This window comes from Homo sapiens, chromosome 5 (assembly GCF_000001405.40).
Source record: "Homo sapiens chromosome 5, GRCh38.p14 Primary Assembly".
NCBI lineage: Eukaryota > Metazoa > Chordata > Mammalia > Primates > Hominidae > Homo > Homo sapiens.
The window spans coordinates 77,398,974-77,421,577 of record NC_000005.10 but is presented as its reverse complement, the minus strand read 5'-3'; the positions used below and the strand labels follow the sequence as shown (position 1 = coordinate 77,421,577).

The 22,604-nt window shown below is 43.0% G+C and overlaps 1 protein-coding gene across 27 annotated transcripts in view; it reads right to left on the bottom strand.

The window, feature by feature from the left end:
* PDE8B (phosphodiesterase 8B) overlaps window positions 1-22,604 on the bottom strand; it is a 341,542-nt gene that overhangs the window by 6,679 nt on the left and 312,259 nt on the right. For 26 of the 27 annotated variants that reach the window (NM_001414622.1, NM_001414623.1, NM_001349750.3 and 23 more), the window contains 9 exons: window positions 21,288-21,330; window positions 16,781-16,858; window positions 14,121-14,197; window positions 12,521-12,685; window positions 9,857-9,902; window positions 9,343-9,478; window positions 8,269-8,467; window positions 3,132-3,349; window positions 1,691-1,811 (listed from right to left, as the gene is read on the bottom strand). In NM_001414622.1, the coding sequence (NP_001401551.1) occupies window positions 1,691-1,811; window positions 3,132-3,349; window positions 8,269-8,467; window positions 9,343-9,478; window positions 9,857-9,902; window positions 12,521-12,685; window positions 14,121-14,197; window positions 16,781-16,858; window positions 21,288-21,330 (1,083 nt within the window). The remainder of the gene's footprint in view (window positions 1-1,690; window positions 1,812-3,131; window positions 3,350-8,268; window positions 8,468-9,342; window positions 9,479-9,856; window positions 9,903-12,520; window positions 12,686-14,120; window positions 14,198-16,780; window positions 16,859-21,287; window positions 21,331-22,604) is intronic. The other variant, NM_001029852.4, reaches the window with a different exon arrangement.

Genomic DNA, 22,604 nt, shown 5'->3' with positions numbered 1-22,604 from the left:
AAGTCCCTGTCACCACCTGTCTACCCCTCACATCCATTTTCTTCCCTAGAGGTAACTGCTACAGCAGTTTTGTTTTTATTTTGAGCAATTTGATATGTAATCTTAGAGGAAATTTCTCCCAGTTTTTTTAAAAAAATGTGTAAAAGCAGAGCTTTTAGCTACTTTAATGCATTTCAGGTAGGGCAGTGGCACATACATGTAACCCTTCAATTATTTCTTGATTTCTACTACTTATGCCTACCATCTCCCTCCCTCCTATGACCTGTCCCACCCCCAACTCACCCAACTCTCTCGCACTTTGGTTCTCCTAAGGCATGTGTCCACTCATGTTTTCTTGGCTGTTCTTCTGACTGGCTGGTAAGTGAGCCAGGTAGGCGTGGGGTCCTTGGAGTAGGAAGTAGTCAGGAGCAGGTGTGTTCAGCCATGTTTAGAAAGACTGGTCCACACCTAGTGGTGATGTCAGTGTCCTGAGCCATGTGGCCAGGACACGAGTTGGTACACACATCACAGGCCATTTACATAGAACCTGAAAGATTGTTATTCTCCACTTTTAAAGACACCATCAAATTGATTGTGTAAAAACAATTAGGTCTCCAGAGCTCTGCCAAGCCAAAAGGCTGCATGACATTTGGGGGGTTTAAGACTGGACCTATTTATTAGACTATCAATGGGCAGAATATGTTCTGGAGGTTTTTGATTACTTATCAAAGTAATACTGTTTACTATAAATACTGCAGTTAATAGTAAGTTGCAGTGCAGAGGTGGGGGCTTACATGAGTGGATGACCTTCCTAGTTCTATGAATCTCTATACTTTTCCTTCTCTAAATCCCCAGATCCTTGCTCCTGTAAGTCTTCTGTGGAAGGAGAGGGCTCTGGTGTTGTGCTGTGGAATCCCTGGGGGAAGGAGCTTAAATAGGTGAGGTAGACACTGTCACTCCATCCAGACTGGTCATGGGATGGGTCCTACACAGTTCATCTCCTTACTGAGCAAGTTACTCATGATGATCATTCACATCCATCCAGTTTGCCAACCTCTGCCGCTCAACAGGAATGAGCGGAAAGCTTTTCTACCTTTATGGGGTTATGAACAGCTTCATGGCTTCAGAGAACAGTGGATCTTATTAGGTGTGAACCTTCTGTTTCATGTTCCTAAAAGCCAAATTGGTAAGGACCTTAAGGCAGGTCCAAGGTACATGAGTAGGTTTTAAAAAAGGAAAACACAATAAATGCTTCTGCTTTCCAGTCACTCCCAGTTTTATGATAGTCTTCAGGTACTGGTATGCTTTTAATGTGAATCAGGAACATTCTTTGTTTTTTAAAACACCTTCCAACTTTGAGGTTTTCCAAGAGCTCAGTGAACAGAGAAGTAAAGGCTTTGGATTCTCTAAAATACCACCATTTATGCCAGTCTCTGTTCGTCTGCGTCTCCTTCCATATTCTTTGGGCCAAGCTTTTCTGGTCAGTACTGGCTTTTTCTCAGGGCCTTTCTTTCAAGGAGCTCAGAGTTGCTGTGGACACAGTTTATTTTCATCCCCAAGGAAAACAAGTGGCCAGTCCTTTCAGCCCTTTATCAACTCCAAGTAAATAACCACCTTACATTTGAGTGGGAGAGAAAATGCTTCAGGGCCAGAGCAGGCTCTTATGGAAATGTACTTGGATGTGCCTTATGGCATGGAAAGCAGTACTCACCTCAGCTGCCATTGGCTTGTTGATGCTGTTCACAAACTTATTCACATGTTCAAAGTGTTTTGTCATCTCTGTTGCCAAAACCATGTCAATAATAGCCTGGCGCAGCGTTCGATAATGGTTCCTAAAATAACCACAAGACAAAGGGGCTTGTTCACAGCGTGTCTCAAATTATAACTATTCTGCCACCATTTCACTACACTCCTCACAACCTAGGAGGAAGCTGGGGCACAGAGTTAAGAAATGTGTGCAGATCACAAGAAGAGCTCGTCCTCCCAGTAAGCAAGACTTGCAGATGCTATTCCATTTTCCCCAGTGATAGCTGACCCTTATGTGATTTATGAGTATTTTAAAAAAGAGAGAAGGTACCTGTCACATGGTGGACGTTTATCTGACAAGGTGATTCCCCTCTCCCTTCCCTTGAGAACATCAAAACAGTAAGGTGGCAGGAAATGGCAGGCTGGCACGGCAGCCACATAAGCTGGCCCACTGCACTCTGTGCAAACACAGGGATTCCCATTGCACAGGATGGCCACAGCCTCTTTCAATGATGGCATTGGAAGACTTTCCTGTTAATAAGTAATTCTCTAGACTGCAGCAGATAGAAATTGTAATGAATGAAGCAACAACCCTGCCCCAAATTAACCATCCAATTCTGTCGTCGTTTTCTAACTTCAAGAGCCAGAATGGCTCTTGAATAAAATTGGCTACTGGAAAGAATTTTTTCTGCAAAAGTTTAAAAACCCATCCTCGATACTGATGAAGCTGAAGCCAAAGCTGGAATAACTCATCTCCATGTTTTCCCAGTTTTCTGGAGACCAAACCAATAGGTTCACATAGACCAGCATTCCTGAGGCCCGAGTGAGCTCCATGTTCTCTGTACACTGCCCCCTTCCCAGGCATCTGTGCACCAGCCTGGCTGGTGCTGTGTGGGAAATACCCACAAGCCTGACTGCAAGGTGCTGGGAGGCAAGAGGACCTGCTCACATCTAACCCACTCTCATCAGAGAATGCGGGGCTGGGGTAACCTGCCCCACCCTTCGTGCTCCCGCTCTGTGGGACCTACTCATGAGGGAGTATTTTAAGCGGCCGGAAATTGAGCTAGGGAAAAATGGGGGTGGATACATTTTCCTCGAGTTACACAAAAGACAGGATGTCCTCGTAGGAGGGTAAAAATATCTGGTGTACTTAGTAATAGTACAATCAATATTTATGTAGTGTTCTGCAGTGTATAAAACATTTTTATGAACTCACTGAAGACCAAATGAGATTTCAAAACATAAAGGCAGTCTGAAAAGTCAAATTAAGTTAAGGGCAAGGTTATTTTATCATCTGGTACAGTGGGACAGCTAATATTTTCCCTTTCCCCTAAGAGGAAGCTAAGTATTTGGGAAAACCACTTAAACTTCACAAACTTGAGCACAGGAGCCCCAGCACAACAAACCTGTCAATATTCTTGAAAATGTTGCATTTGGTGTCCTTGACCGTGAGCTGGAAGGCCAGGGCGGTGTGGTGACTCTCCAGAACAGCAGTGTCATTGTAGAGCACAGCAAGCTCACTGCCTGCATTGCAGAGGAAAGAGTTGGTCCTTCCCGGGTGATCCACGTCATGGACTGTGGCAGCAATGAGGGCTGCCACCTCATCCAACTGATCGAGGCTTCCCTGGGATATGGGGAGGCAAGGTTGAGCATTACCCACTGGATCTTGGAGACCCACATCCATCCTTGTCTGTGCGGAGGGTCGGGTCAGGGGATTTGAGATTTTCAGAACGTTTTTAGCCAGCTGAGCCTTCTGACCTAGATGTGGAGAGGCGGCCTCGGACATGCAGCATCGCTTTACTGTGCTGTCTGTTATCTGGAGGGCAACCTGAGCCACAGTTACAGCAGACGCTTAATTCATTCTCCAGGGGCCATCAGCTGCAGGAAGAGGCCAAACAAGCCTTTTGAATTGCCCACTGTATGGTATTTCTGCCACAGCAGAAAGTGGCCTGTGATCACAACTATTACCAATTTGCCTAGCTCTGAAAAGATTTTGAGTGTGCTGGTAGCAAATGGCTCAGATACAACAAAACTATTCATACAATGGTGAAATGACTAGAGCTGTAGAAGAGTAAAAGAGTACCAGGTAAAAGAGGACCAAGCAGTAAAAGAAGACCAAGGGAAAGAATAACTTTGCCAGGAAAATTAAGGCTAAAGGGGTTCTTGCAAATAAGAACAAAATTCAGCTCTGGGCTAGCAGGCAGCAAAGGCAAAAAGGGAAACCCTAATTCGAAAGCTCTCATTATGTAATTAAAGAAACAAACCAGAGCATCCGGGGATACAAGTGTTTTCTGAGCCTGCAGCTTTAGGAGTTATCAGATGGGCTACTGTTATATAAGAGATGTTGTGCTAGGAATTTATTATTTATTGAGTGCCTACCAGGTACCAATTATCACTGCATAGTGCCAGAGCTGCCATGATGATTTACACTGGCACAGTCTGCACAATGGAGTTTGTAATGTAGAGGGAGAGAGACAAATACATTTAAAAACACAAACGGAAGTAACTTGCTGTGAGACGTGCTAAGAAGGAAAGTACAGATGCTTTGGGAGTATAACCATGGGACCTGGTCTAGTTTAGGGCAGCACTGTCCAATGTATTTTTTGCCATGACAGGAATGCGTTCTATTTGTGCTATCTGATAAAGTAACTCCTAGTTGCATGCAGCTACTGGACACTTGAAAGGTAGCCAGTGCAACTGACGAACTGCATTTTAAATTTTATTTAGTAGCCATGCGAGGCTGATGGCTACCATATCGGATAACATGGATTTCGAGGGTGGTCACTTCCAAGGAAGTGATTTTTCTGCTGAGCCTGAAGGAGAAGCAGGAATTGTCCAGGCAACAAGCAGCAAGAGGGCAATTCCAGGCAGAAAGAACAGCCTGCATGACGTTCCTGAAGTCAAACAAAAAAGGTCTGTTCAGGAAACGTAAGCGACATCACTGTGGCTGAAGGGATAGTGAGAGGGAAAGTGGTCCCCAAGATGTTGGGGGTGGGGAGGTCATCATTTTTGGTATTCCCAGAATTTGCTCTCCTAGGCCTGCAGGAGGAAGAGCTGCTACTCAGGTGAGGAAGGTGAACCTGTAGCTCAGCCCTGTCCTGCAACGGCACCCTGATGGCCAAGGGGCTGCACTTGCTTGTGCTGGTTTAGCAGGCTTCCCTGAAAGCTCTGTCTCCACCAGAAGGGAGTCATTTCCATTCCCAACGCTGACCCCATGGAGCTGGTGAGCAACCCTGGGGTGACCCCAATCAACACAACTAGGCTTCCTGAATAGGGACAGCAGAAGTTACTCTTCTCAGCTGTTCTCAGAGATTGATTCTGCAGTGCCCAGGGCAAGCAAGCATCATTTGGCCCATTTCACTGCTGGTCAGGAGAGGCCACGGTCACCTGCAGGCACGTTCAGCGATCTCCAAGCTCAGGACCCAGGACAGCCCCAACCTGGGCTCCACCTTCACTGACTGTACCTGAGCAGTGAGAACCCACGGGGCCCAAACTCTGGGCCTCCAGCTAGTGCCACTGTGGTATGTTCAATCCTGCTTGGAGTCTCAGGCCTGTTTATTTTTTAATTCTTCAATGAAATAGATTCAAGTAACTGGGGTAGAAAACATAAATAGCACTAGATGAAACATGCCTTTCCTTCCAGCTAACACTGATTTAAACCATGCCCTCAGTGACTTACAAAGATACCAATAATGGGTCCTGCAGTTTAGGTGGGCACCAACAAGGCCTTGTCAGACCAGAAATGGCTGGGAGGTAGGGAAGGAAGACAGGCTAGCTCACTAGCAGAGGAGAGTAGCAAGGCCCTACGTCGAGGAGGAAATGTCCATGGAAGAAAACCCCACCAAACCCGCAACTGGCGAAATTCCAGTCCCGTGGAGGTGCAGTTACCTCTGCATAGTTTTTTCCCTCTTTAACCAGTAGGAGTAGATCTGGATCACACTGAGGAAAGGGTTTCATTCTAGATCTGTCTTTCAAATAGTTTCTTATTCAGGATAAATATTCATGTATGCTCAGATACTAATAAAGGAATGCTTGTTATCCTGGCTTCTCCACTTGCACTAGTTCCCTGGAATTGGGTAACATGGGGAGAGGATGGGGTCTGTCACCAACTGAAGGGGCTGTTAGCTCTGGGCATGCTAGCTCTACAGCTGGGTTGGGCATGCTTTGTCATAGTGACATTAAGAATTTTAGCCTGGCTGGAAGCAGTGGCTCACACCTGTAATCCCAGCAGTTTGGGAGGTCGAGGTGGGTGGATTATCTGAGGTCAGGAGTTCGAGATGAGCCTGACCAACATGGTGAAACCCCATCTCTACTAAACATACAAAAATTAGCCTGGGCTTGGTGGCATGTGCCTGCAATCCCAGCTACTCGGGAGGCTGAGGCAGGAGAATCGCTTGAACCTGGGAGGCAGAGGTTGCAGTGAGCCAAGATCATGCCATTGCACTCCAACCTGGGTGACAGAGTGAGACTTCATCTCAAAAAAAAAAAAAAAAAAAAAAAATTTTAGCTTATCACAAAGAAATTAGGGGTGACAGATGACACAAGAGAAGTAAGAAAATACTTCCTGACCCTCTTTGTCAGTGCCAGCAGATCTGGTAGAAGAGGCCTCAGGAGTAAATCTTTCTGGAAGCACCTCATGATGGACCCACCAGTGATCACAGGCAGGTAACCAAACCTCTGAGCCCAGAAACCCCTTCCAGCTCAGTTCTCCAAGCTTCCTCGCAGCTCTAAGTTTTCTGGTTCTCTGGCAGGGGCTGCCAGCATGAGAAAATGTTTTTTGAATTGTAAACATATTCTGTCCAATCTTAAACTTGTTTCTATTGCTGTCATTTGAGAAATCTAATCAGACTCCAAATACACTAGCAGAACTCACAATTTAAAGAAATATATTTTGGAGGAGGATAGTAAGATATGATCAAGTTACTAAGCATTCCCTAATTTATCAAAAATTTAATCAATGTTTTCCTAGAGTGGTTCCGCTTGAGTGAGGTTCACCTCTAACTCAAGACTGCAGAGGCTATTGATCACCTTGGTCTTGGCATTAATGAATTGGGTGCTGTTCTCAACTGGTAGCATGTGGCTTCAGCTGTGAAACATCATGTGGTATAAAAGAAAGGAGCATAGGCCGGGCGCAGTGGCTCACACCTGTAATCTCAGCACTTTGGGAGGTTGAGGCGGGTGGATCACGAGGTCAGGAGATTGAGACCATCCTGGCCAACATGGTGAAACCCTGTCTCTACTAAAAATACAAAAAAAAAAAAAAAATCGGCTGGGCATGGTGGCCTACGCCTGTAGTCCCAGCTACTCAGGAGGCTGAGGCAGGAGAACTGTTGGAACCTGGGAGGTGGAGTTTGCAGTGAGCTGAGATCGTGCCACTGCACTCCAGCCTGGGCAACAGTGCAAGACTCCATCTCAAAAAAATAAAAAAATTTTAAAAAAGAGGAGCATGAACCTGTAGTAGGAATCCAGGGTGTTTTTGCTCCTCAAAGAAAGGTGTTATAGAAACATAGGTTGATATCACTATTAGTTTTCTAAAAGTAGAAGACAAAATTATTCAAAAGCATCATTCTTGGGCCACATTGTTTCCTTGCTGATGAAAGTGAATAAATATCAGGATGCTGTTGGCAAAACTGAGAAGAAAACCTTACCCACATACCCCCTTACTGTTTTCCTGCCATTTCTGCTTCTACCTGTCTCACTATAGCTCTTAAGTACCTAGGACCTTAATCCCTCAATACCTGGTTCTAAGAAAATGATCTAATGTCAGGCATTTACAGATAGATGTGAATTTCAATCCCCATATGGCACTTCTCCCAGGGGTATTTAAAATTTAAGTTTTAGTTCTAGTTGTAGCAAAAGAATGTATAAGCTTTGGTGTGCAAGTGATGGTAGCTGGGGAGGAGGAGAGATGGGGATCTCTTGCCAGCTTTAAATAGGGCTGCCCTTATGTAAAGGGCAAGGGGTTCCTAGGGCTGCCCTACAAATCAGCAGTGGTACATGACAGTATTGAACTGTAAGACTAAGGGATATGGAACTCTTTCAGAATTATGCAAAAGTCATTAATATAAAGATAGGCACGTTCATACCTACACAAAACACAAACATAAATATATGTAAAACAGTGTAGAATGCGGAATGGCTATTATTAATATCTGGACTGTAATCTACCAATGGCCAAATCCTGATACTAAAATTTAACCTATAGATCTAGTAACCATTTGCTGTAATAATTAAGTTCTGTCCTGCAACCCCGTAACACAGCTCCTAGCTAACATTTGGAAAATGGGTTCATGATCTGCCATGCATATAAAGGAGTCTCTATGGTGATATAATTATTTTAAGTATTTGGAGGAGGGGAGGGCTGGCAGAAAGGTCCATGTCTTTACAACACCAAAGTGACTAGTCAATTTGGTAACAAAATTTTTTTTTAAAAAAGCTGTCAACTTGGTTGCAAAATAGCTGTTTGCCTAATGTATTTACTAAGATTAAGTTCTTGGATCTCCAATCCAGGCAGGTAACTAGGTCATGATATCAAAATCCTACCTTTACTCTTTCCTTTCCAAGAAAGAAAGCGGTGGCGTGCAGGACGTCGGCAGCATGGGTGGAGTTGTGGTAGGCATTGGAAGAGTGGTAGTTGGCTTCGATCACTTGGAACCAGGCCCGAAGAGTGGTTTCAGAACAGTTTAAAAATTCACATACTCCAAACCGAGAGAAGACCTTTAAGCCCAGATAAACCAATGGCCTGAAAAATAGGAAAACCCACCCTGGCTCATTGTATTCACTGGCCCAGAAACTGTTTTCTTTGATGATAGTGGGGCATGGAAGCATTTTTCTTCTGATGATAGCTTCACACACACAGGGGTTTAAAAGCATCTCCTCTAAAAATTAGGAGGTAGGATCTCTCCTTCTCACCAGTCACCTCTTTGGAACTAGATGCTTCATGGTAGTACATCCAAATTATTTCTAGATGAACTCTAAATCATAGGCCCCTCAGTGGCTCTGACAACCTAGAAATGAGCCTGGCAGTCCCTCTCCATCCCCACTTCCACATTAACCTTGCACTTTATTTATGTTCCCTAAGGAAGTGACTAAGCCTAAGGACAAAAAAAAACAGCTTGGATGGTCCCAAAGTCCTATCATTTAGAGTCCTGTTACTTATTTACGTTACAGGTGAGAATCTTTCATATCCAACAGACCAACACCTCTGGGAAGAAACAGCCTTCTCCTAGTATAGAAAAAGACCTTTCAGTTATCTAATCTTTCCTCTGCCTACAGGATGGATCAGAAAAAAAAAAAAAATCTATAGTGCTCTCAATTCCATTCTGTAGGGTAGAGCTTCGACAAGTTTGAGGATTCTTAGAACTCTTGGCTCACTAGCACAAAGGAGGGAGCTGTGGATACCCAGGCAGATCCCACATCTTACTAATACTCTCCACAAAGGATCTCACTCAGGGGCCATAGTCTCTCTGCTCATTCAACACTACTCTAACATGGCATGAGAGCCAGAACCCGTGAGGTCTCTCACAGCAAAAACATGTCTCCCTCAAAGTTTCCAAATGTGAGAGTTTGAGCATGGCCATCAATCCTGCTCTGCCTTCAGCCAGAGAAGTCACATACCTTTTATGCGTAATGGCTTCCAATTCAAAGATGTTGAAGTCCCAACTCTCCTCATTATCAAGTAATTGAGAGATACAAGGGGGAACATCATTGATGGTTATTGGCATTGCAAGGTGACTGTGACTCTGGTGCACATCTGAGCAAACAGATGGGATGGGGGAGGCTGGTTAATTGTGGAATCTTGAGTGCCCGGGTGTCTGTCATCATCTTCATAGTTACTACTAGAAAAAAAGTCTTGTACCTGATTTTTCTGTTATTGAACTTCAAGACCCTCAAATAGAAAAATAATTCACTTTAACTCTGTTTAAATGTATAGAGATTTGCAATTCTTACTCTAACTGTGCTCAGAGAAGTAATTTTAATTAGGAGACTAGTTTTAAATGTAGACCATATTGATGCTTAAACTCAAATGGGACTAGCTGGAAGTAACACCTCCCAGAACAATAATCGCAACAGCGGGGACAGCACAGGCTGGAGACAGGTTACACTAACAAGTAAATAGATGAAAACTTACTCTTAGTAAACACATACTCGTTTCCTGACAGTCTTCTCAAGCCGTCCTGGAATAAAGGAAGAGCCTGTTAGAAGCATGCTTTATATCTATTATCATTCTCTTTTTTTTTTTATTATTAGTGAAAGAGATTTGAATCCTGAATAACCCAACCAATCTGGAAGTCTAAGTTGAAGCAAAGCTCAAAATTAAATCACAACAGTTATAAGACAGATGATACTCTCCCTTCTGTAACTATTAGCCCCAGAACGTGGAGAACTGGGATAGAGTGGATGTGACTGTGTCAGGACTCACAGTGAGCTGTGGGTTGGCTCTGTTCTGAGGCCATCTTCCTCTCCTGGCATTTTCAAGCTACACAGGTGAAATCACAGGAGTGACCTTGCTTCAGATCTTGACGGGATCCCCCTCACCCTCAGAGGGACTGTGTTAATTGTGTTTTTGACTTACATTTTGAAGAGTTGAAGCCATCAGCCATATTTAGGGGATTACCTTCTAATATAAAGTTTTAAAAAGATTGAGCTATTTTTTGACTAATATCCCAACTAATTTTTCCCCAACTGTATTTTATGTTTTGAAACATGAGCATTGCTGCTTGCCTTTTAAAGAAGAGTTTCTGGGCTTGAGGTCCTTGGAGATGCAGCGTTAAGAGAGTGGACGAAATTCCAATGCTTGGCCATATCCTGGCTCTTGAACTAGTCCCCAAGTGTTCCTGAATCTCAGTTTCCTTCCCTCCACCTTTGATCTCTGAGTACCTCAATCATCTAGATCTTTGCTTAAAAGTCATTTAGAAATGCACACCAACATGGCACATGTATACATATGTAACAAACCTGCACGTTGTGCACATGTACCCTAAAACTTAAAGTATAATAATAATAAAATTAAATTTAAAAAAAAAGAAATGCTTATTTGTCATTCCCAGACGATGTGTGCTAAGGTTTAAAGTAGTATTAATTAATGAAGGACTCCCCTGAAGTTACATGTTGGATCTTTAGGCCAAGAGCTTAATTTTAAAAACTGAGTAAATACAGAAGTAACAACAGCCACAATTGTCCTGCCTGTAACGTGTGTATGGCAAGAGATTCTTGGTTTTACTTGCTCTTCTCTCGCTCCGCTTCCCCAAAACCACATAAAATTGAGGTGGAATCACTCACTGGTTCCTCACAGCATTCTCTGGAGAGGAAACCCACGATGGTATGGCAGTGAGGTAGGAGAAGGGACTCGGACATGGGGCCAAATTGAGGACTAGGTAGAACAGGGCAGAAGCACCTCCCCATAAGCTATGCCCACCAGCATGCCACGGCAGTTTACCGTTGCCATGACAACATCCAGACCTTTCCACCCTTTCCATGGTAACAACCCAGAAGTTACCACCCTCATTCTAGAAATATCTGCAAAAACTGCCCCTTCATTTGCATGTAATGAAAAGTAGGTATAAAGATGAGTGCAGTGCTGCCTCTGAGCTGCTACCAGGGGCACACTGCCCATGGGGTAGCCCCGCTCTGCAAGCAGCAGTCCCTCTGCCACTGCAGTACAACTGCTGCTTCAATAGAAGTTGCTGTTTAACACCACCAGCTTGCCCTTGAATTATTTCCTGGGCGAGGCCAAGAACCCTCCCGGGCTGAGCCCCAGTTTGGGGACTTGCCTGTCCTGCATCAGCAGCAGGGGAGGGAGGGAACATGGCTTGCTCCCAGAACCAGACCCCTCCCACTGCAGCTCTGCGGTGGCCACCTTCTTGCAGAGCCCTTGGCAGTGCTGCCTAGAAGCTGAGGTCTGCACTGCATTAGATGGAGTTAACAGGCCAGCCCAGGGGCAAGAAAGAAACAAGAAGGCCCTCAAGTTCCAGGTGGAGAATGGAGGGGAAAGGCAGTCAACATTCAGCATTTGGCTGCAGGGCTGGACAGAAACCTTCAAAGTCAAACTCATACATGACTTCTGGACTTTTTTTCTAAAGAATTCCAGCTTCAGACTCTGATGGGGAACTCAAATAAACAATTTGAATTTTTTTCCTTTTCTTTACTTGCTGATAGATAATTATGAAAGCCAAATAGATCACAGCAAAACACCAGAATAGGTTGAGTCCCTAGAAACCAGCTACTCTTGGTGGTGTAAATGGTTCTTTTTGGAATGTGGCAGTGAGAGGTTCCTTCTCCCCTTCCCCTCCCTGAGCCAGAACAGCCCCAGTCTGCTTTTACCTTATAAATGGAACTTCTATACAAACTTTAAATAAAGGATTCTATAGTTAAGATTAAATGCTATAGTCTAACAATAAACCCTTTCATTACATGAGGAATCTGAGGTCCATGGAAATGAAATCCAATACTATACCAGATCAAGGGAAAGCAGGAATAATCAAGAGCCTGCAAAGCCCCATCTTGCACATTGAGCCCTCCATCAGTTGCCCAATGACTCCCTGCAGTCATAGGAATTCTGAAACACTGTCCCCATGGCTATGGTAGGCCAGCCTCATGGAAAGACAAATGCAAGAGTCACTCAAATACCACTGCACATGTTATACATAAATTCTGACGCAGTTGCTTCTGGTTATGCTAACGTTAGTCTATATAACAGGTACTTCTGCAACCACAGGTAACAGTTTCCACATCAGCTGCACTCTAGAGGCCCCGGATACCTCTCTTGCTTTTCAGGTTTTGCCTCATCACTCACAGTCATCAGGCCTCCAACAAGATCACTGGTGTGGGGATCTTCATCTTTGGTACCCAGCTGAGGGGAGTACAGTTCTGTGGTCCGTAAAATCTCTAGAACTCTGTCCAAGGCTTCCGCTACTGTGACTGGGCTGTTTTCTTGGGCTGCATTGATTATATTTATAACCTAACGGAGTGAAGAAAGAATACATCTGAGGATAATAGGGTTCTACTTCCCAAAAGTCATATATATGCCCAGAATCCAAAAGAAATCAGTGGGTAACCATCTCTTATTCAAAATGACCAGTGCTTTCACGGCACCGCCCTTCTTCCTGAAGCATGCTTTTCTCCCTGCGGGCTCCTGGTGAATGTTCTCCTGTCTCAGTGAGTAGGCTTCCTCAGGCTCCCTTGCAGATTCACCTCCCCTGGCCCTCCTCTACAGATTGGAGTTGCTCAGAGATCTGTTCTGGGCCCCTCTCTCACTCTCTCGCTTCCAGAAATGATATTTTGTCTCCACGACTTTGGACACCTATAGCTAGGGACTTTCGATATACCTCCCAGCCCTCAACTTCCTTTGACCTCCAGGCTTGTACATTCAATTCCCTACCTGACATACCTACTGGAATATCTCACAGGTCTAACACTAAACTGCAGTCTTGTTCCCCTCTCTCCATAGAAATCACATAAACACACACAACAAAAAAATCAAAGACAAAAGCTGTTCACCTTCTGTGGTTTCTACACTGCAAAAGAAAGCACTTCTATCTCATGTCATTTTCTATCAAGAAAGCACTTCATGCTCACACCAAAAACCTGGGAGGGCCATGCCTGACATAATACTTTTCCTCATTCCTCTCCCTACCCTGGCAATATAATTCATCACCAAGTCCTATTGGTCTGCCTCAAAATATTTCTTGATCTATTCATTTCTCTCCACCTCCACAGCTATAATTCTAGCTCAGCTACTTCTAGAATAGCCCCCTAACTGACCTGTTCTCTTGCCACCTCCAATCGATTCTCTGCACAGAAGCTGGGTGTTCTTTTCAACAAACATATCTGGTCACATCACCCACCCCACACCTGAAACTCTTCAGTGGTTTCCAGTGCACATAAACTAAGATACAAACTCCTAACTATGTCCCTGCTGTCCAGAATGAGCTGAGCCCTGTACAACCTACATCCTCCTCCTCTCTCACCTGCTTACCAAGCTCCGGCCACTCCGACTTTCTTTCAGCTCCTTAAATGTTCCAGTCCCTCTTCGCCCATTGCAATGCTTTTTCCCTGGCTGTTCCTGCTACCCGGAGTCTTCTCTTCCTTCTTCTCCTGAGTAACATCTTATGCTTCAAGACTTGCTTCAAACATGACTGAGAGTTTCCCTGACCACCCTCTCTTCCAACCTACTTAAGGGCCCTACTCTAATTTTCTCTCACAGAACCCGCTTGTTTTCCTTCACTGCCCTGATTGTGACTTAGGATGAGGTGTTTATTTGCTATGTGTTTATTTGCCTGTTATTTGCTTCTTCCACTAGACTGAGCTCCATGATGTCAGTGTGATGTATTTTCAGAGCACGGCCCTGTGTGAGGGCCCCTGACTGCAGAGTGCAGGCAGCAGCCGCCACTCACCTTTGTGATGGGAGCCTCGATGGTCATGGAGTGGATCCTCGCCATGGACGGATAGCGACGATTCTGCAGGCTTGGTGCTGGAGAGAAGGCAAGAAAGCTGTGTCCAGTTCCGGTGGCTCAGTGTGGCTAAGTGCAGCAAAGGAGTCCCTTCATGGACCAGGGCCCGCTTCTCACAGGGCCACCCTCCCACCTAAAAAGCCATGAATTCACCCATCTCTTCTGCCAAGGCTGGTAGCCCAACTGCTACTTGCCTGAGTCTGGAAAGGCGATCTGGCCTGGAACTTTGGAGGCAGGAGGGCTTGCTGAGCCCCAAGTCCACAAGGGGAATTTCAGAGAAGGTTGATGAGGTCCAAAAAGGCCTCATTCCAACAGCTTAATGACCCCCACACGGCTCACTTTCCCCCAAGTCACCCAAACCCAACTTTTGCAGTTCCATGACTTTCAGTCCTAAGCTGCTGGCCGTGTAACCAGATGACTGTGCAGCCAGCTTGAGAGGGGAGGCAGTTCATGGTTAGGGTCAGGGCGGAGGATTGAGCCCATTCTCAGTCTGAATTAGGGCCAGTCACTCCGCCTGCCCATGCCTTTAGGCTCTTAACTCCCAGAAACCCATGGAAGTTCTAGTTCAAATCTACAGAAGCTTTCATTTTTTAAAAAATCTTTTATTTTTCTACATAGTTAATGTTTATACTTGGTTTAAGATGCCAAGGGTAGAAGCTTGACTTGAAAAGCACTGTTCTCATCAGATCTTCCTACCACCCCCTCTGAGGCAGGCAGGAGGGGGAGTCCCATTTCATGGATGGGATCACTGAACCCACCCCACATCAGAGCCTGCCTCCTGCTCAGCCACCTCTGGGGTCCCCCCGCTGCTAGTGCAGCAGCCATTGCAGACCTGCATGCTCTTCAGCCTCCACTGTGCCCGTACTGGAAAGAAGACAGTCCCCTTCAAGTTCTGCTCCAAAAACAGTGAATCCAGTTCAAATTCCCTCATCCCTTATCCTCTCAGACTAAAATATTCTATCTATCCGCTCAATCCATCTCAAAAATCTCTCGATTCATATTCTCTTTATATTATTGGTTACTGTCCCTCACATGCCCTGTGAATTATCATCTTGTCTCTAGCATCTTTGGTTCTTGCTATGTCAGCCACTTTTTAAATTTTTTTTATTTTTATTTTTATTTTGAGATGGAGTTTCGCTCTTGTTGCCCAGGCTGGAGGCACGATCTAGCTCACCACAACCTCCGCCTCCTGGGTTCAAGCGAATCCCATGCCTCAGCCTCCTGAGTAGCTGGGATTAAGGCATGCGTCATCACACCCAGCTAATTTTGTATTTTTAGTAGAGAGGGGGTTTCACCATGTTGATCAGGCTGGCCTCGAACTCCTGACCTCAGGTGATCCGCCTGCCTCAGCCTCCCAAACTGCTGGGATCACAGGCATGAGCCATCGCACCTGGCCTATGTCAGCCACTTTCATACTCAGTCTTCCTACTGTGTACAGAAGGACTGGAAAGTCCCTCCCTTGTCCTTTCTGTTGACTCTCTTAAGTTACCAGCCTCATCTCTCTTTTCTATCACAGGCACTAACCATCCCCTCCTCACACCCCAGAACGTGTCCTCCCATTTGCCAAATAAAAATCAAATGAGCGAGTGAAATCTACTAGTCTGTTGTCCGCTCTCGAGTTCTGATATCCACAGCATCTAACACTGCTGGCCACCGCCTTTCTCAATCCCCTCTTGTTCTTGGTTCATGTGACACTGCACTCTCATGGTCACCCCCAGCTCTTCTGTCCTCTTTACTGGCCCTATTTCCACTGCCCACCCCCTGGCTGAGACTATGCCTTCAGGCTCAGGCTTGGACCCTCTGTCCTTTCACTACATGCACATCACACACCCCTTAGAGATGTTCTTCTGCTCCTGGCTTCACCTGTCACCACTAGGACTGCCAACTCCACATCTATAGCCCCGAGTACCAGGGTTGCAGGTTAGCTTCCTAGCCATCTCCATTAAAATAAGATTCATCATCTTCTCCTTAACCCCCAACCTAGCAAAACCTGGAGACGTTTCCATTTCTGTATATATGACTTAAAATTTCCCAGACACCGAGGAATGAAATGTCAGAATCGTCTTTGACTTTTCCATCTCCCTGCAAATCCAGTTGTTTACTTAGGCCTGGCTGATGGAACTCAAAAAATGTTTTGCTAAATCCTGCCTTGCAGGGCAGAAACATTTTGCTAAATTCTGCCTCACGATTTCTCTGTGACATTTTATTAAGAAGTGAGTGCATATAGCTGGTACACTGAAAACTAGGTTTGTGTTGGGAGTTGGGAAGCCAGGACTGGCTGCCTCTCTGCCTCTAGCACCCAAGAGTGACCTTGTTCAGCTACTAAAACTCTGAGTTGCTTGGGTGGTTATGGCTCAACATGCTTCAAGCCATCAAGGAACAAGCATGGAGTCCCTCCAAAGAGACGACAAAGACTACAGCATAAGATTTTTAAAAATAATTAAAATAATTAAAACCCCTAAAACCTTTGAGCTTATTGAAAAATAAGTCGGTGTTGTTGAACTCTTACTCTTTGGAGTTTATACGCTGATGAATTTTTTAACATATTCTTCCATCATTTTCTACATTTTAAAAAGGTCAGAGGAATCTGAAAAACATCTTACCATCACTGCCTCGAGATGATATCGATTTCACGTCAATGGACTCTTTCCTCCTGTTCTTATATCTGAATGAATGAGGCTCTAAGGATTTCAGATTAGAAAGGGAAGGTGATTAGTTTTCCGTGTATTCACAGAAGAGATTCAAACATGTTTTTTCTTTATTCTCTAAAGAAAACAAGGTTACTTTTTAAGCACTATAAAATAATTTTAAGAAACAGTCAACCACTTTCTTTTCAAATCATGAAAGACAAAAATTATAGTCATATTAGTTAAATGATGGTTTTTTAAGATAATGCCATGTTATATCATAGTAATATAGCTTAGTATCAAGGGTTATTTAGTTACATGAATGTAATTTTGAAAATAAACATTAGGCCGGGCGCAGGGCCTCACACCTGTAATCCCAGCACTTTGGGAGGCTGAGGCAGGCGGGTGGATCACCTGAGGTCAGGTTTCGAGACCAGCCTGACCAACATGGAGAAACCCTGTCTCTACTAAAAAAATACATAAAATTAGGCTGGGCACAGTGGCTCATGCCTATAAGTCCAGCACTTTGGGAGGCTGAGACGGGCAGATCACGAAGTCAGGAGTTCGAGACCACCCTGACCAACATGGTGAAACCCCATCTCTACTAAAAATACAAAAATTAGCCGGGCATGGTTGAGCATGCCTGTAATCCCAGCTACCCAGGAGGCTGAGGCAGGAGACTCGCTTGAACCCAGCACGCAGAGGTTGCATGCAATGAGCCAAGATCGTGCCACTGCACTCCAGCCTGGGTGACAGAGCGAGACTGTCTCAAAAAAACCAACAAAAAATTAGCCAGGCATGGTGGTGCATGCCTGTAATTCCAGCTACTTGGGAGGCTGAGGCAGGAGGATCGCTTGAACCTGGGAGGCAGAGGTTGCAGTGAGCTGAGATTGTGCCATTGCACTCCAGCCTGGGCAAAAAGAGTGAAACTCTGTCTCCAAAAAAAAAAAGAATTTAAGAAAATAAACATTAAAACTTGAGGGACATTCTCGGGGGAACTATTGAACTAGTAAAGGTGGAACTATTATAAAGTTAATCTGAACACCATAGCTATAGCACCTTATCTTAAATAATCTAGCTTAAAATATTTATTATACTATCTCTTTTCCTAATTTTTATCTTCCTTAGTAATTTTCCTATCATGCATAAAAGTTTCAATATATATTTTTAAAATTATCTATAAATAATAGTACTTTAAATCTTTACTTGAAAGACAATATATTCAACTGGATAGGGAAGGCTTTTAAATGGGGATATTTGAGGAAATATAATACTAATGAAACTTATAGAGATTTAAATTACGAGATTAATTCAGACGAATTTTGGCACCTCTGAAAAGTCAGACCTCTAGATGGGCTTCTAGATTCTCTTTAAGGATGGATTTCATCAAATGATGCATACTGCTGATCACAGGAAAGGAAGAAAACAGTTTTAGATTCCCCCAACATTTCAATAACTAAACCTTCACCCTTGTCCCTATTTTCCAGGGTGGTGGGGGCAGGCAAACATTTAAAGAATTTTGGCCTAAATCTTTGCAGACTTGAATTTAACACTGAAAACGCACGGTCATGTTAATGTAAAAACTAACAAAAAGCATATGCCACCAGTGAGCGCCGAGATATAAAAAATGACAAGGCAGCAGTGTTGGCTTCAGAAACACACATTTTCAGCGCATTTGCTTCTGTGAGAGTAACTCATAAGCGAGTAGAGAAATTTAACCATAACACAGATTACTCCTCACTAGGCTAAGAGAGGAGGCAGACATGCAAATTTCAGCAGGAAGAATGCGCTTCTCAGATGCCAATAAGTGATCATATTCCAAGAATAAAAAAAAGATGCAATAACACTTCTTTAAGAATTGCCTAGTGACAGCAGGTGCAAGAAGCCTAGTAGTTAAGGAAACCAGGTCCAGAGCCAAATCGTCAAGATTCAAATTTCTACTGTGCCACTCAGCAGCTGTGTAATCTTGGAAATGTTACTTAACTTCTCTGGGTCTCATTATCCTTGTCTATGAAGTGGGGGTAATGATAGCATCTCATTTATAGGCTGTTTTGAGAAATAAGTGAGTTAATATATGCATAGCATTTAGAACAGTGTCTGCCACATAGTGAGCATGTAGTATATGGGGGCTATTAATTACATCCGTTCATTTGCATATATGTCTTTAGACACATGTGATCATGTTACATTGTTCTACTACTTACTGTTTTCACTTTATAATGTCTTAGACACTTTTCTAGACCACCTTCTTAACCATTTACTTTAGTGTCCTAAAAACCTGATTCAACTAAAAAAATTATTAAATCAAAAATTAAAACTGAATTATTTTTATACAACATGAAGTGAAAGCGGAACTATTATAAAGTTAATCTGAACACCATAGCTATAGCACCTTATCTTAAATAATCTAACTTAAAATATTTATTATACTATCTCTTTTCCTAATTTTTATCTTCCAAATTCTACCTTAGTAGTTTACCTATCCTTGCATATAAGTTTCTATATATATATATTTTTACAATTATCTATAAATAATAGTACTTTAAGTGATATTGTTGGGATCATGGCATTTCTGAATCCCTGAGAAACGAAACTAATACTGCTCACTTGTGAGACACTTGGTTTAGCCTATTCAGGGACCTCATAATCATATACAGTCCTAGCATTTATTTGTGTACCAAGTAATAAGTTAAATCTAACTTAAAAATTTAAGATTAAATTCAAGATTCAAGAACCAAGAATTCCTCAAAATGTAGTTTCTAAACAAAACTAAAAGAGAGGTTAGCTTCAAGGCTGTGGCCCAGGCTAGCTGGTTGAATTCTAAGTCGTTCATTAGAAATTATTCAAAGATGGATGATGTTTATTCTTCCTCATTTTATCTCAGTTAAAATTAAGAGAATCTATAGCAATAGAAGTGATTAAAAGTTTAGAGAAATTATTCTTCAATAAAGGCTAAAGTAAGGCCACATAATTAAAGAATTCATTGTCATTCTTTCAACAGATGTTTACATGAATTAGAAACTTAAGCCAGAGAAAGGATAAAGGACATTTAAACAGCTGTACTCTGTGGCAAAAAGGAATATGTGCCACCAATTGAAAAAAAAAAATAGCTCCACTTACTGAGTGCCTACTTTGTGACAGGCATTGTGCTATGTACTTTAAATAATTGTCTCATTCAATCATTACAACAATTCTCAAAACTACATAGGGCTATCCCCATTTTACTGATAAGAAATTTAAGCATGGAGAGATTTTGTAGGTAGCCCAAGATCAAAAAGAGAATAAATGGTGGAAACTGTACTTCCAAGATGGAATGGTTTCAATTTACCAATATTTGCTGAGTATTTGCAAAGTGTCTATTATGTACAAGGCAATGCTGGGCACTGCAAAGGACACAAAAATGCTTGGAACAATTTGTGGCACCCAGAAGCTCCCAAGTTAGTTAAAATAATACCCCTGCTCAGGTGTTACAAGAAATTAACTAAAATGTATGTGTGTGAGTGAGGGAGAGAGAGAAAATGCACCTGTGTGTGAAGTGTCATTATGTTATCCCAGCCTGTTCATGTCTAGAAAGTTTTCAGAAAGGGGGAAGGAAGGTACAAGTTAAATGCCAGTTACTGCTAAGCATTATACATTTCCTTCTTTAATCCTCATTAACAATGAGATGGGCTTTTGTTAATTCATTTTACAAATGAAAAAATTTGAAGCTTAGAAAGAGCAAATGACATCTTTCTAAGTATGCTAGATATGATCCACCTCACCAAGAAGAGAGACTAAACACTTAGCCTAGGGTCTGACATCATGCATTAGTGGCTGGGAAAGCCACCAACAGGGCAAAGAATGTTGCAATTCTTGCAGGCACAAAAATCTTAACTTCTTGGTAGCAGACTGATTTTTTTTCCCTCTAATGGTCAGAGAATTCCAGACCTTTCCACTTGTAGAAGTCATCAGGTCCAGCTCCTCTTTTTATGGAGGAAGCCAAGAACCAAGCAGAGTCTTGCCCAACATATGAAATGAGCGAGTAGGAAACTGAAATAGGAACTTGGTGCTTCTGCCTCCCAGGCCAGGACCTAGCCACATTTTCCAACTGTACAGTCACCAATTAGTGCAAAGAAAAGGGAGACTGGACACGGTTGAGCAACTACCATATTGTCACCTGTGTCATATTCAACCAGTGTCTCCCCTAGACTTTCGGCCCACTCTCTTGGGTTTATCTGTCCTACATGGTATCTAGCCAAGAAAAGAAAAACAAGATGGGGAGGGCGTTCAGTATGATAAGGTTGCCATAAAGGAAGATTCAAGGACATTTTAAGGGATTTCTGCTTTTCTTCTGGCTTGCCAACCTTGTGATATGAGCACGTGGATTTTAGCACTCCACATTCTGGGGTAGTAGATGTCAACTTAGACTTCTTCAGAGAAATGTATACATTTGAACCCACAGCTGCCTCCTAAGTATGTTAGAGTTCAATTGAAGTATTCTCACCTGTCTGAGAATTGTCTCCTGAATCACGATGAATCTTGTGAATCTAAAGTCGTTCAAAAGTTTGATAAAACAAGAGAAAGATTTTAAATATGCCATTTGCTATATTTCTCATCAAACAATTTAGTTAAAAAGCTCTGAAGACTTGAAGAAAGCAAGAAGCTGCACATATAATATGAACAGATGAAAGACATACACCAAGTGGTACTAATCCAAAGGCTCTGTTACTTTCAGACACTTATAGAATGGCTGAGCCTGAGAGCAGGAAGGTACCCAAGGCACATACTCTCTAGACAGGACATCTACTTCTCCAGTCAGCTACTGTCTCATTTTGACAGCCTACAGAAATGCAGAAAGATAAAAGATATAACTAAATTTAAGTTATTTATAAGGCTAACATATAACCTGTTTGTTTCAGATACGTTATAAAATTTTTCTGTGCTACAGAATAATCTGAATTTAAGCCTAGGAGTTAAAAACATTTCCTACAAAGCTCTTCAAATGCTCAATTATAGACAATTTATAAAATGTTTTCTCACGATGAGATCTGAACTTTAGATGCAGTTTTCCACCTATTCTTTCTCATTATCAATTTTTTTTGTTGTTAATGGTTTTGTGCTAATGCTCAATAAATGTCTGTCAAATGACAAAAGGAAGTCATTAGCACTAGAAATAATAAGTGTGCTTTCTTTGGGATCCTGCATTTCTTGTTTTATAACTGACCCCAACACTGTTAGTGGGGCACATTTAGTTCTATTAAACTTATAATCATGCGGCTTCACTGCTAAATCAACCTACTTTCAAGTGCTCAGACCATTAAATCTTTGTAGCCACTCAATGAATGGGGTAGGTTAACTTGAAAAATAAGACAGATGAGTGTGTAGGACATCTGCAGAGGCAGATTAATATGGCTTAGCAACATCAACTGTAATAGCCAGAAACCCTGTCTGCGGAGGCCAAAGCAACTCCATGTTGGATGCTAATCCACCATGTTGACTTCTGATTAACCCCAGTTCCGGGATGGCCTCCAATATTACTATTTTATCTACTGTTCCTTGTGTAAGAAGAGCATGTACTTACCGTAAATCCTGCCCTTACATCAAAACAACCTTGACCATAAATCCTGCCCTTAGGCAGATTCACATAGCATTCTTGCCTTTCTCTGCAAGTGTCCTACACATTCCTTTCCTCTGGTATGTAAGTGCTGGGTCTGTGGGTAATGGAACAGGGATCCGTTATCTTGTCTTGCCACCATCCAAGGCACAGACGTGGCTTCTGTTCATAAGTTCCTATTAGATGTTTCATTCCGAGGAACGGGAT